The sequence below is a fragment of the Homo sapiens genome, chromosome 15 (genome assembly GCF_000001405.40).
Source record: "Homo sapiens chromosome 15, GRCh38.p14 Primary Assembly".
NCBI classification, from domain to species: domain Eukaryota; kingdom Metazoa; phylum Chordata; class Mammalia; order Primates; family Hominidae; genus Homo; species Homo sapiens.
In genome coordinates, this window is record NC_000015.10 from 47,588,346 (window position 1) to 47,603,133 (window position 14,788).

The 14,788-nt window shown below is 38.3% G+C and overlaps 1 protein-coding gene and 1 long non-coding RNA gene across 2 annotated transcripts in view; one reads left to right on the forward strand and one right to left on the reverse strand.

The window, feature by feature from the left end:
• SEMA6D (semaphorin 6D) overlaps positions 1-14,788 on the forward strand; it is a 590,140-nt gene that overhangs the window by 404,257 nt on the left and 171,095 nt on the right. The window contains exon 4 of the mRNA NM_001198999.2: positions 12,520-12,551. The gene's annotated coding sequence lies outside the window, so the exon portion shown is untranslated. The remainder of the gene's footprint in view (positions 1-12,519; positions 12,552-14,788) is intronic.
• On the reverse strand, positions 12,044-13,862 carry LOC124900620 (uncharacterized). The gene is made up of 3 exons (XR_001751514.2): positions 13,781-13,862; positions 12,967-13,044; positions 12,044-12,126 (listed from the first exon to the last, which is right to left on the reverse strand). It is a non-coding gene; the product is annotated as an uncharacterized LOC124900620 (long non-coding RNA).

Genomic DNA, 14,788 nt, shown 5'->3' on the forward strand with positions numbered 1-14,788 from the left:
CCTATCTTTTAGAGAGTAGATTAAACTGACTTCAGCAGAGTCAAATCCCTGGTATTAGCCTTTCAGCTGCCCCCTCCTTCACAGACAGAGCCACAGGAGCTGCCCGCTCCTGCCTTTCCTCTTTTGTAAGCCATGCTCCTCAGACTCCGTAAAAAAAGAGTCATTACTTGGAGAAAAGTTTTGAGTTAGCATAAGAACTGCACACATCTGAAACCACAAATCACGAATTTGAGACTACAGAGAGCCTCCCTTGCAGGCATTTGCAATTGCAGTTTGAAGACCAGCCATCTGGATGTTGTCTTAAAGTGTGAGTCTCCATTGTGGCTCCGTCTGTGAAGGAAAAAGTAAAGTCCCTGGAAGAATTTAGAGAGTGGGAGTAGGGGTTTAGAAGGCAGTTACACTTAGACATGACTAGTATTTCCTAGAGGACTGAGTTTTATAGTCCCTTAGTAATAAGCAAAGAGCCGAAGAGAGGGTTTGTCAGTCACAAATGAAAAGCAGTGGTTCTCGATCAGGGCAGTTTGTCTGCCAAGGGGACACTTGGCAATCTGGAGATGTTTTTGGTTGCCACAACTGTCACAATGGGGAGGCTGCATACTAATGGCATCTAATGGGTAGAAGCTAAGGATGTTGCTAAACATCGTACGGTGCACAGAACAGACCCCCAACAAAGGATTATCCGGCACCAAATGTCAATAGTACTGAGGTTGAGAAACACTGAATGAAAGGTGTTTCATGTTCTGAGCAGCCCTCCGCTGTGAGTAGTTAAACCATGAGTGGATATGCCGGCTGAGTCACATGAGGGTCCCCTCCCGGCAGGCTTCCTTCAGGGTGTGTGCATGGCTAGACAGCAGAGGGCACCACTCCCACCACACCACCTCCATTCTGGTGGCAAGAAAGGGTACATGGATGGGAAATACTTTCATGTTTCTTCCCCTATGAGGTGCTATTTTTTCTAACAAATGTAGGTAAGGGGGCATGTCTCCACCATGCTTTGCATGGTAAGGGAGATGGGGCAGAAACAGTCTGGCTCCAACTCTGGCAGGCCTTCCTGTTCCTGCTCCAGCCCCTGCTGACTCTGAGTGTGAGTTCTCCCCTGGATCCTGCTGACAAAGCAAGTGTTTGCCCTCCCAGTGGTCCTCTCCTTGGCCTGCTGAGCCATGGGCTCCTTGGCCATGTTTCTCTTCCTCTTTCAATCCAATCCTACCCACTTTCCATCTTTAAAAAACACTCCAAGTTTCTAGTCTGCTCATGTCCACCTTCTTTGCTTTATAGGGATTTAGTGAATTTATTCTTGCATACATATTTCCTTGGTCATTTCAATGGACTTTAGGGAGGCACAGAAGTAGAGGTATTGGCTAAGGGATCCCTCGAGAACAGCAACTCATCCACTGGATTGAACACCAGGACAGTCACTGGTGGCCTTACAAGAGCAGCATCAGTAGAGTGTGTTGGCAGAAGCCAAATTGTAGTAGGTTGAGTAGATTTGAGTAAAGAAAGGCATTTTGGTTATCTATAGCTATGGGACAATCCAACATAAAACTTAGTGGCTTAAAACCTCCATTTATTATTATCTTTCAGAGTTTTTGGGTTGATTGGGTTCAGTTAGATGGTTCTAGATTGGGGTCTGTATTGGGCTGAATTGTTTTCCTCCAAAAGATATGTTGAAGTCCTAACCCCCATTGCCTCAGAATTTGGCCTTATTTAGAAATAGGGTCTCTGTACATATGCACACGTATGTTTATTGCGGCACTATTCACAATAGCAAAGACTTGGAACCAACCCAAATGTCCATCAATGATAGACTGGATTAAGAAAATGTGGCACAGATACACCATGGAATACTATGCAGCCATAAAAAAGAATGAGTTCATGTCCTTTGCAGGGACATGGATGAAGCTGGAAACCGTCATTCTCAGAAAACTATCACAAGGACAGAAAACCAAACACCGCATGTTTTCACTCATAGGTGGGAATTGAGCAATGAGAACACTTAGACACAGGGCGGGGAACATCACACACCAGGGCCTGTCAGGGGGTGGGGGGCTGGGGGAAGGATAGCATTAGGAGAAATATCTAACGTAAATGATGAGTTGATGAGTGCAGCAAACCAACATGGCACATGTATACCTATGTGTCAAACCTGCACTTTGTGCACATATACCCTAGAACTTAAAGTATAATAAATAAATAAATAAAAATAAGCAAATTAATACACAAAAAAAGAAACAGGGTCTCTGTAGATATAATTATCTAATATGAAGTCATAATGGAGTATGATGGGCTGTAAATACCATATGACTGGCATCCTTGTAAGAGGAAGGAGACACACAGAGAGAATGCCATGTGATGACAGAGGCAGAGCTTGGACCAATGCAGCTGCAATCCAACGAATACCAAGGATCGATGGCCATCACCAGAAACTAGGAAAAGGCAAAGGAAGGATTCTACCCAGAGTTCAGAGGGAACATGGCCCTGCCAACACCTTGATTTCAGACTCCTCACCTCAAAAACTGTGAGGAAATAAATTTTTTCTTTGTGAGCCACCCAGTTTGTGGTACTTGATATGGAAGCCCTAGGGGACTAGTACAGAATCTCTCATACAATTGCAATGAGATCTTGACATGGGCTGGAATTAACTTGTCTTAGTCCATTCCTGGTGCTATAACAAAATCCCTTAGGCCAGGTAATCCATAAGCAATAGAAATTTATTTCTCACAGTTGTAGATGTAGGGAAGTTCAAGGTCAAGGTACCAACAGGTGCAGGTGAGGACTTTCTCCCTGCTTCATAAATGGCACTTTGTTGCTGCATCCTCATGAGGTGGGAGGAAAGCAAGGGCAAAAGCAACTAACAGACTCCCTCTTGTTCTTTTATTATATCAGGGCACTAACCCCATTCATGACATGGAGCTCTCATAACCTACACACCTCCTGAAGTCCCCACCTCTTAATATTGTTGGATTGGGGATTCAGTTCCAACATTAAATTTGGAGGAACACAAACATGCAACCCAGTAGCACAACTGAAGGCTCTATGGGGCTGTATGTCCAGAGGCTTCTCCACATGACAGGTGCTTCATCTAGGATGATAAGAACTGCTGGGGCCTGGCTGTACATTGTTCTCTTGCTCCTTGCAGCCTTTCCACATAGCCAGGTGTGTTGGACTTGTTTACATGGCACCTAGCTTCCCCCAGAGCAAGTGTTCCAGGAGACCCAGGTGGAAGGAACAAGACTTCTATTGACCTAAGCTCAAAAGTTACACAGTGAGAGAGGGGCTATGAGAGGATAGGCTCCAGAATTTAATTAGCAGGTTAAGCCTGAGACTGTAGGAAAAACACCTGTTTCATTGTATCAGGAGAGAAGCAGATTAGGATGGATAGAGACACAGCAAATGTGTGGATGGAGAATGACATATGGGAGTGAGTACAGCAGCTTCAGGATGTTGAGAGAATTTTCATATACTGGCATCTAGTGTCTCTGTGTCTGAAGAAGCAAAGTTATGTGCTGACACTGGTAAGAAAGAAGTGTGGTAGGAGAGAGAGCTTGGGGAGAATGACATTTGGAAAGAGCCACAGTGAAGAATGGGAAAGTGAGCTAACTACGGTCACATACACCACAAGACCCCAGCATCTGTCATTGTTAAATGATAAATTTTGGAAAGGGGAATGAGAGTGAAATCCTGGGGGAGCAGTTGTTTCCTGCTGTCAGTGGCATTCTTATTGACATTTCCTGAGTTTTCCAGCCCTAATCTAGGTCTCCAGCAGTCAGCGAACTAGATGTTATTTCTAAAATCAAGGTAATGGAAGCTGGGAAAATATAATCACTGTTTCATAAGTACATTTCATTAAAAATCAATATCTTCATACTTCGTAGGCCACAAGAGAAGGGAAGAAAAATGTGAAAAATAATTCAAACATCTCATCTAAACATACTTAGAGAATGCCTTACTCTGACTTTGTGAACCAGTCCTTCCATGTTTCCCTTCGTGGCATACTACTGTATTTAAAGTGGGGAAACAGTACCTAACATATGAATTTTTCAGACTCAGACTGCACAGATTAATTGTATCTCATCCTAGAAAGCAGCCATATTTAGTTCATTTTGCTGTGATTGATTGGCTGGGTGTGGGTGAGAGGCAGACCCATTTTCCTCAATGTTAATTTCAGTTGTGTTGAGTGTGGCCATTTTTGTCAATGATCATGGCGTGAGTTTCTGTGATTAGTCATTTAACTGTATGGTAATTGCAAGCTAAATAGAGTGTTTACAACAAACCCCTTGGTTTAGAGACAGAGACCATGTCAAATTGCATCCTATGAAAATTGCATAAATAAAAATTTGCATCTAGAAGGGCCCTTCATGAAAATCATGAAAAGATTGTAGAATTTTTATTTGCATTGTATAGTAGCTCTGTAATTGACAAATGAATTCTAACTGTAGTCCATAATACATTGCATCCAATGATTATTCATCGTAACTGCATATATATTGCTTTGCTCATTATGAAAAGTAACAATGTTGGCAATCACCTTAATTGTTTTTCTTATCAGATTAGTGATAAAGTGCCATAATGAACATAACCTTCGAGAACGTATTCACTAATGTAATAAACAAAGCTAGGTCTTGGCACAGTACAGATCATACAAAGATAGATTTGCCTTTTCATCTCTTCCTGAGAGCCACAGCAGTACCTCTCTGTGAAGTGTCCTTGACTCTAACTTGGTCTAGAATTTCAGAAGCATTCATTACTTTTTGTCTCATGATTAGTCAAAAAAAGATCTGGCTGGGCGCAGTGGCTCACACCTATAATCCCAGCACTTTGGGAAGCCGAGGCGGGCGGATCACAAGGTCAGGAGATCGAGACCATCCTGGCTAACACGGTAAAACCCTGTCTCTACTAAAAATACAGAAAAATCAGCCAGCTGTGGTGGCTGGCGCCTGTAGTCCCAGCTGTTCAGGAGGCTGAGGCAGGAGAATGGCATGGAGCCGGGAGGCAGAGCTTGCAGTGGAGCTGAGATCGCACCACTGCACTCCGGCCTGGGCGACAGAGCGAAACTCCGTCTCAAAAAAAAAAAAAAAAAAAAAAAAAAAAAATTCTATACCGTCAATCCAAACAGAGAATTACATGAAAATTTCTAAAAATGAAGACTTTAAAGTCCCTGGGTTTGGACGATTGCCTGAAAAGACTTAAATAATCAGAAAAAAAAAAGCTTCAAACACCAAGACATTCTCCCTTCTTTAAAAATTTGAGGGAAAAGATTCCAGGGTGAAGTGGTATGTTAGTCTGTTTTTTCATTGCTATAAAGAAATACCTGAGACTAGGTAATTTATAAAGAAAAGAGATTTAATTGGCTCATTATTCCACAGGGTGTACAGGAAGCATCATGCTGACATCTGTTCCACTTCAGAGGAGGTCTCAGGAAACTTATAATCATGGCGGAAGGGGGAGTAGGTGCATCACGTGGCTGGAGTGGAAGCAAGAAAGAGGGCGGTGCAGTGCTACACACTTAAACAACCAGATCGCATGAGAACTCTATCACAAGAACACCACCAAGGGGATGGTGCTAAACCATTCATGAAGGATCCACCCTCATGAGCTAGTCAGCTCCCGCCAGACCCCCATCTCCAACATTGGGGATTACAATTCCACATGAAATTTGGGTGGGGACACAGATCCAAACCGTATCAAATGTCATCACAGTTGACAATGCCTGAGGCAATTTTAATTCATCAGTGCATAGACAACATAATTCACATCTCCTGTGCAGCAAGAGGGACAGATGCTATCAAGGCTTAAACACTATGAAAGATAATATTTGTTTCTCTACAGAACTGAAATCACTATTATAGAACTCATTATTCCCATTTTCCCTAGGTACAAACAAACTTCCTCCTTTAAGAAGAGAAAGTTCATTTCTTTTGCCCTGGTCCCAGGTTTGGTTGGTTTTCTTTTCCACCTCCTGTTCCTCTGTTTCCCTTTCTTTTTGCTCTTTAAAGGCCAGTACTTATTCTGAAAATGATTTCCTATTTCTGAAGTTAGCATACCCATCACCTTACTAACAACTAAGACACCTCCATGTGTGTTTCTCAGGGACACCTGCAGATAAATTGTAAGTAGGTAGTTCATGACAATCATTATATCATTGAGAGAATTTGCAGGAGACGTTCAATTATTTATGCTTTAAAACAGCCATTATTGGGTACCCATCACATACTGACACTCACCGTTCCAGGACCTATACTTTGGGATATGAACTTCTCAGAACAGAGTAGGCATTGAATGTTTATTAAGTAAGTGGCAGTACCTGCTTCCAATAAGCTCCCAGTCTAATGAGGGAGGTGGACCTTTACACAGAAAAGTATAATTTATAGTTTGATGAGTATTCTAGAATAATTAGAAATAGCCAAAATGGGAGCACAGGGAAGGAAGTAACCCAGTTTAGGAAGATTGAGAAAGGCTCCATAGAAATAGTGTTTGGGGTAGATTTTGAAGGAGGAGCAGATGTTTGTCAGGTGAAAAGGTTGGAAGAATGGTGTCTGAGGGCATGTGTGTATCTGTGTGTAGAGGAGTGTGAACACAGGCATTCCAAGCAAGGGTAATGGCACATGTTAAGGCATGGAGGCTGAAGTGGTGTAGTGAATCCTGGAAACAGTGTTCACTTTTGCTGGAATCTGGGAGATATCCAGGTGAGGGGCTAATTGAGAAGAAAGATAGGTGCCAGAGGTTGAAAGTCTCTGTGACCTTCATTGCAGAGTTTTGGGGTTTGCCAATAGGAATCAAATGTTGGTCTAGTAAAAAAGAGACAAAAATCACATTTATTTTAAAAATCAACTTTTCACCATTGAGGTTAATGTCAGCTGTAGGGTTGTTATATATGGCCTTTATTGTATTGAGGTACATTCCTTCCATACCTAGTTTGTTGAGAATTTTTATTATGAAAACAAGTTGAATTTTTCATCAAATGCTTTTTCTGCATCTAATGAGATTAGCATATGGTTTTTGTCCTTCATTTTGCTAATATGATATTTCACATCTATAGATTCACATATGTTGAACCATCGTTGCATCCCTGGGATAAATTCTACTTGATCATGGTGAATCACACTTTTAATATGCTGTTGAATTCAGTTTACTAGTACTCTTGTTGTTGTTGAGGATTTTTGCATTGATGTTCATCAGGGATATTGGTCTGTAATAATTTTCTTTTATTGTAATGTCTTTGTCTGGCTTTGGTATCAGAGTAATGCTGGCCTCATGAAAAGAGTTCCAAAGTACTCCTTCTTCTTTATTTTTTAGGGAGCACTTGAGAAAAATTGGTATTAGTTCTTCTTTAAATGACCCATGAAGTCATCAAGTCCTGGGCTTTTCTTTGATGGGAGAAAATTTTATTGTTGATTCAGTCTCCTTACTTATTATTCATCTTTTTAGATTTTAATTTTTTTTCTTGATTCAGTGTTGCTAAGTTATATGTGTCTATGGTTTGCCCATTTCTTCTAGTTATCCAATTTATTGGCATGTTATTCTTAGGATCAGGAACAACATGAAGATGCCCACTTTAACCACTTCTATTCAATGTAATATAATATTAGAGGTCCTTGCCAGAGTAATTAAGCAAGAGAAAGAAATAAAAGGCATCTAAGTAAGAAAGTAGTGAAATTGTTGCTGTTTGCTGACAACATGATCCTATGTATAGAAAACCCTAAACACCCTATCAAAAAAACCATTAGAACTGAAAAACAAATACAGTAAAGTTGCAGGATACAAAATCAACAAACAAAAAGCAGTAGTATTTCTATACACTAACAACAAATTATCCAAAAAAGAAATTTAAAAATTTTATTCACAATAGCTACAAAAACTAAAATACCTAGGAATACATTTAACCAAAGAGGTGAAAGATCTCTACAATGAAAACGTAGAACATCGATAAAAGAAACTGAAGACACAAATACATGGAAATATATTCTGTCTTCATGCCTTGGAAAAATTAATATTGCCAAAATGTGCATACTACTCAAAGCAATATATAGATTTGAAGAAATTCCTATAAAAATTTCAATGCCATTTATTCACAGAAATAGAATAAAATCTTAAAATTTATATAGTATTGCAAAAGACACCAAATAGCCAAAGCAATCTTGAGCAGGAAAAACAAAGCTGGAGGCATCACACTATTTGACTTTAAACTATATTACAAAGCTATAGTACATAGAACAACATCATATTGGCATAAAAATAGATACATCAACCAATAGAACAGAATTGGGAACCCAGAAATGAACTCACACATCAATGGTCTATTAATTTTTAACAAAAGTGCCAAGAACACAATCAGTAAAGGACAGTGGCTTTAACAAAGAGTGTTGGGAAAACTGGATATCCATATGCAGAAGAATGAAACTAGACCCATATCTCTCTCCACATACAAAAATAAAATCAAAATGGGTTAAGGGCTCAAATGTAAGTTCTGGAACTGTAAAACTAACTAGAAGAAAACATAGGAGAAAAAAACTACGCAACATTGGTTTGAGCAATTATTTTTTTAATTTGACCCAAAAAACTCAAGAAACAAAACCAAAAATAAACAAAAGGCATTACATCAGACTAAAAATCTTCTCCATAGCAAGCAAACAACAGAGTGAAGAGAAAACCTACAGATTGAGAGAAAATATTTGCAAGCAATACCTCTGATAAGGGGTTAATATCCAAAATATGTAATAACTCAAAAACTCAATAGCAGAAAAATAAATAACTCAATTTTAAAAAGGGCAACAGATATATGAAAAAATGCTCAACATCTGTAATCATTAGGGAAATGATGAGATATTACTTCCCACCTGTCAGAATGCCTATTACTAAAAAAATGATTGAAGATAACAAATATTGGCGAGGATGGGGGAAAAGAAAATCTTTGTACATTGCTGGTGGGAATGTAAATGAGTACAGCCATTATTGAAAACTGTGGACATTCCTCAAAAAACTAAAAACAGAACGACAGTATGGTCCGGCAATTCCACTACTGGGTAGGTAGTCTAGGACTTAAAATTAGTATTATGAAGAGATAGCTAAACTCTTATCTTCATTACAGCATTATTTACAGTGTCCAAGATGTGGAAATAACTTAAGTATCAACCCAGGGATGAATGGATAAAGAAAATGTGATATATATACACAATGGAATACTATACAGCCTTAATAATGAAGAAAATCTGTTTTGTGAGGCAACATGAGTGAACCTAGAGGACATTATGTTAAGTGAAATAGACCAGGCACATAAGAAGAACAATTACATGTTCTCACTTATATATGGAGTCTAAAATAATAAAACTCATAGAAGCAGAGAGTAGATTAGTGATTACCAGAGGCTGGGGGTGGGGAGTATGGGGAATGAGGGAGATGTTGGTCAAAGGGCAGAAAGTTGCAGTTAGACAGCAGGAACAAATGATAACTATTTAAGTTGATGGATATGAAATTAGCTTGTTTCAGTCATTCCACATCATTCATACATATATATATATTATATATATATAACATATAAAATAACATCACTGTGTACCCCCATAATTGTATGTAATTATAATGTGTCAAAAATAAAATTAAATTTAAAAAACTAAATTTAAAAAAGATCACTGTGTTCAGTGTTTCCTAGGGTAAATAACTTTTTTAAATGATGGATGAAATAAAGGTAATGTTTTTCTTTATTTCAGAAGAACTCTGAATTTATAATATTGTGCACTAAGAATCTCTAAAAGGAGATTATACTGTAAAGCATCCAGGACCACCACCTCTTTGTTCCAAAACCAGGAAATCTCAAGGGGTGATAATATTGTGTTCATTTCCATTTATGCAAACTGTATGTCTATTGGAAAAGGCCATTCCACACTCAAGGACTTCATGTCACATTTGGGCACTTCAGTGCCCTCATAATATTAATATAATTGGAGGTTGAAAGATTTGTGCTGTCCCAAGCAAAGCATGAAATGTTTCATGAATTGGTGGAAAATTAGGACCAGAAGGATGTCATGTGTCCATTTCAGTGTTTTGGTTTTAGGGAAATCCAAGACAGTACATGATTGATTATGATTAATTGTATTTACTTACATAGTTCTCTTTGTGGATATTTTCATCTGAACTGGGAAAGCACAAGAATTAAGCAGACACCTTTGAATTATTCAAGCTGATGGTTAAAATAGCCCATTAATATTTCAGACCACTCCCCTGTACAAAATGATTCCTACATTAGTTCATCTCTCTGCATAAAAGCGTCTTCACCTGAAAAAATTAAAAAGCTTGGGCTACATTTTTTAAAAGTCTTTCCAGCTGTAAGTGGTAAGGGTTCTGTTACTTAAACAGTATATGAGGGCCACATTAATTAGAGTGTATGTCACCTAAGCTTTCGCCCTTTTTCAGGAATTTACAGATCACCAAGGCAAATAATGCTTAAGGCAGATCAGATATCTGTGTGGAAACCATAAAGAAAAACAATAGCAAATAATAACAGGTTTTACTTATATATTATATACTAGTTTTCTCAAATTTAAATATTTATTATGTACTCTGAGATGAGATAGCGACTTAAAACACCTTTCCACTCAAGGCTTGGCACTTAGCACAGCCTGACGTCACTTTTCATATCATCCTAAGTCTGTGTTTCCCAAAATGTGGTCATGAGACCACCTACCTAATCATACTCGCTGGAAAAGCTTATCGATGAGCATTCCTGGGTGCTAATCTGCTAGGGATGCAGATTTCATAGAGCAGGCTAGAGCTCAGGAATCTGCATTGTTAATAAACTCCCCAACAGAATCTTATGCACATACATTTAAATACTACTTCCTCCAAGATGTAAATCACTGTGCTGGGAGTATGGCCAAATAAATAGAAGAGGGTCTGAGGTAACATCAGAGTAACAGGGGATTAATACCACTGCATCCTGGTAACTCCCCTCACTTCATTCTAGCCAACGGCAAGGAGGTTGTTGCTCCTCTGTTTCACCCCTTGTCTTGTCTGAAAGGTAAACAAACTTTCCAGAAAGTAGTTTTACCAACAAGTGAGGGAAGGGAGCAACAGAGGTTGGAGATCTAATGGGGAAAGGTCTGCCTTACGCTTTTTTTTTTTCTCAAAAAGTAGATGGAGTTTGGAGAAACTAAGGTGATTCCAGGGTTCACTGTATAAACTATCCAGATGGATTTAGAGATGATAATATGAGTACATTTGGAACTAAGGCAAAGAACCAGTGCACATATGATAACTCAATACAACTGAAAACACAGCCATTTGATTTTTAATGAATACAAGAATTTTAATATGCTTCCAGACCTTGTTTTTCTTTTTTCTATTTTCTTGTATTTTTGAAATTCTCTGTATTCTTGAATGTGGACTTTTTTCTTTTATAAACCCAGTCCACTAATGCATACAAAGCTCTGTTTCTGCCCTAAGGCTAAGAACATTCCAGGTGAACTAATCAATCAATTTTGCCCATTAAGAAAGAGCACTAAAATAAAAAGAATCCTAACCTTTTGATGGATCTGCTAGTTGTTTGCTAAATACTTTCTTTTTTTAATGGCAAAACACCAAGAGGAGAAGCAGTCTTTCACCTTAAGGAGAGGAAAAGCTTCCAGTTCCTAGGGAATTTGTAGCATTTGGGGAATTTGTACCATTTGGGGAATTTTTTTTTCAAATCCTGGAGTATCGGTCAACCATAGCATCACTTGGTGATAGTGGTGTTATTTTTAGTTAAGTCTTTCTAGCCCAAGTTGAAACATGTGCATATTTAAAATGTAGAATAAATGCTTTTGCAAAACAAACTGAGAACCAGGCGTGGTGTTTGGCTTAACTGAATACCTAACTCAGCAATAGCTTTTGCACAGTGTTGTTCAAAATATCTTCCTTCAATTTTCAGATTCTTTGCCTTATATTATAGAATTGATGGAGTAACTGATTTATTTTGTAGGATCTGAAACTTCCAACTCATTATTTCCAGGTTCTGAGTGTTATACGACTGAACCTATTGGTAATGTGTGTTCTTCCAGCCTAATTGTTAAATGAGAGAAGTTCATGAAGAAAAATGAGATATGATGTTGCATTTCATGAAACAGCTGCCTCAGCCCAAACAAATGTTTCTCTTATCTGTAGAAGAAGATAAAATAAGACATAGCTGACCAGAGATCTTCAAGTTTTAAAAGTTTAACAACAACAACAACAACAACAAAACAGATGTTTCACATGCACAGTGTCTAGCCTATCATGGTGTTTTACTCTGGTCTACTGGTGGATGCTTTTCCTCAGCTGAACATATTCCTAACTAATAATGGAATTCAATAGAGAAATTGCATTCAGGTTAGAATCCAACTTAGCTTAAGCCATTATTACTTTAAGCAAGAGATACATAAAATTAGAGAATGACAATCTGATTTACTAAATTAATAAGCACACCACAACTATGTTTAACTCAGTATTGTGGTTTTAAAGGTCAGAAGTAATGGAAAATCAATCCATTTCTCTTTTCTTTTCTTTTTTCAGGTTTTTGACCAGACAAGCCAACCTTTTTCAAGGTAAACAACATACTGTTCTCCAATTTGTTGGCAAAATCCAGCGAATTGTTACTGGTTTTAGATAAGTTTTTGCTGTATGTCATGAGTGAGACGTTCAAATGGTGCTCAGAATTAGAGTTTACTGGTGATGTTAGTGATTCGAGCATGCTATGAATATTGCTTGACTAAGTACTGGTCTTAAGAGAAATAGAGAGAGAGAATGAGAGAGAGAGAGAGAGAGAAAGAGAGAGAGAGACAGTGTGTGTGTATCTTTTTCTTGCCCAGTCAGCCCTTTTGTGATACAGCAGACTCTTTGTCTCTGATGTTCAAAAACAGAAGAAGATTTCTTTGTGAGCAGCTGTGACAGGGCCTTGCACCTCTCCAAAGCCTATTTTGGAAGAATTAGAAAGCAAAGTGCCCCCAGCACAGCCCTAACCTTTCAGCTTTGGTAAGGTCTTCCTGTCCAACTCTAGCAGGAGAGTATTAGCCAAGTTGTGTAACTTTCCAGGAGTATCTGTAAAAATTAGCAATTGAGGATGTGTTAATCACATTAAATAACATAATAGGGATCCTTTTTTATTTCATTAGAAAATCAGAATGCATTTGATGTGCACCATCTGGTTTGTGAATACAGGAATAAGTTTTCAAAAGGGCACATTTCCAAGTTCTATGTTTCATATGCTTCAGAAGGAAAAACCTGTAAGCAGCTCTATTTTTAATGAGAGCAATGGTAAAGCTAATAAGATTGGGGTGGATTTCTAGTATGTGCCATTTCTCCTAAACTACATGTGTTTGCAATACGTTTGGCAGAAATGTCCTGTTGAGAGGCTGGGCTTCCAATTGAAAATTTTAAAGTTCTCCATGTGTTAATTGGAAAATAGAGAAAGCTATCATTGTAGTAGAGCATCTGGCTTTCTAGGTATTAACTATGGGTCCATCTACTCATAAAGACTAGTATTTTAAAGTTATCTCCTGTTACTTACTATGTTAATTCTAGAGACTGTAAGTTTCAGATCATAGAAAAAGTCAAGTTAAACTTCATTATGTATTGTATGCTTTTTAAAAATGTCTTTTAGATGCAGTCGCTGTTTGTACATAATAAGCAGAAACAAAATAATAATAAAATACCAGATTTACTATTGCTACCCCCATATTGAGTTCTTAAAATATATTTTTTACTTAAACAAAAATATAGCTCTGGAATGTAGTCATCTTACTCTATGAAACAGAAACATATTTGGATCACAAACCTGCTTTAGAGGAGTAATTCCTTCAGTTTCTTCCATAATTCTTACAATTCTATACAGTAACAAACAGGATTTGTGAGGCAATATAATGTTCTTCTTAACCTCTCAGTAATTGGAGGCATCTTCTGTATGTATTCCACAAGTCCAGCTCATGCTGATGAAGGAAGTATAATTACATTACAGGCAATCTCATCTAAGGTAATTACAATTGTCACCGTCAATCCAATTAAACAGGATAACTAACTCTACTGAGTCAGAAGCACCATAAAGCTTTCTGACTAAATCCAGGCTTTGGGATAAGGATGTGATTAGAATTCTGAGAATTTTCATTTGCTAAAATACTGTTGTGTATACAAATAGATAACAATGCTGGGAGGGGGGCTTGTGGGGAGAGATTGGATACAGGTAGACTTTTTTTTTTTTCATTTACTGATCAATTTCTTATTTCTAAGCCAGAAATCACTGTAGATTCTTGGCATCAAACTTCAGGCCACACAACATCATTATGGAAAGGTTACCCCAGCATCACAACATCCTAATGCTCTACTGTTCCCATCTGGCCTCTTGTCCTGAATCAAGCCTGGATCTCATTATTGCTTCAGAGACCTTTCATCTTGTTCCAGTTGTAAAGATGCAAAACACCATCTCCTGAGCTCCATCCCTGCCTTTGCAGGATGGAAGAAGTTGGCTCAAGTAACAGTCCCCCACCCCCGAAACTCTTGCAATGGTTTGTACAGGGTCACTGTGGGAGGCAACGTAGAACATCACTAAGAATTACAGAGGTGTAATGACAAGTGGATAGGATCCACTTCTCAAAGATTTCACCTCTGTCTCTATAGTCCAGGCAAGAGGATAAGCTTTGGATAACAGAACTCAGAGAATGAGAAATGGAAATGATATTGGGCACTGTGACTAAGATTGATAAAGGGCCCAAGTGAGATGGCGTATGCTTTCATTGGATGGTACATTATGTGAAGATACTGGTGTTTTCTTTATGGTTTTTCATATATA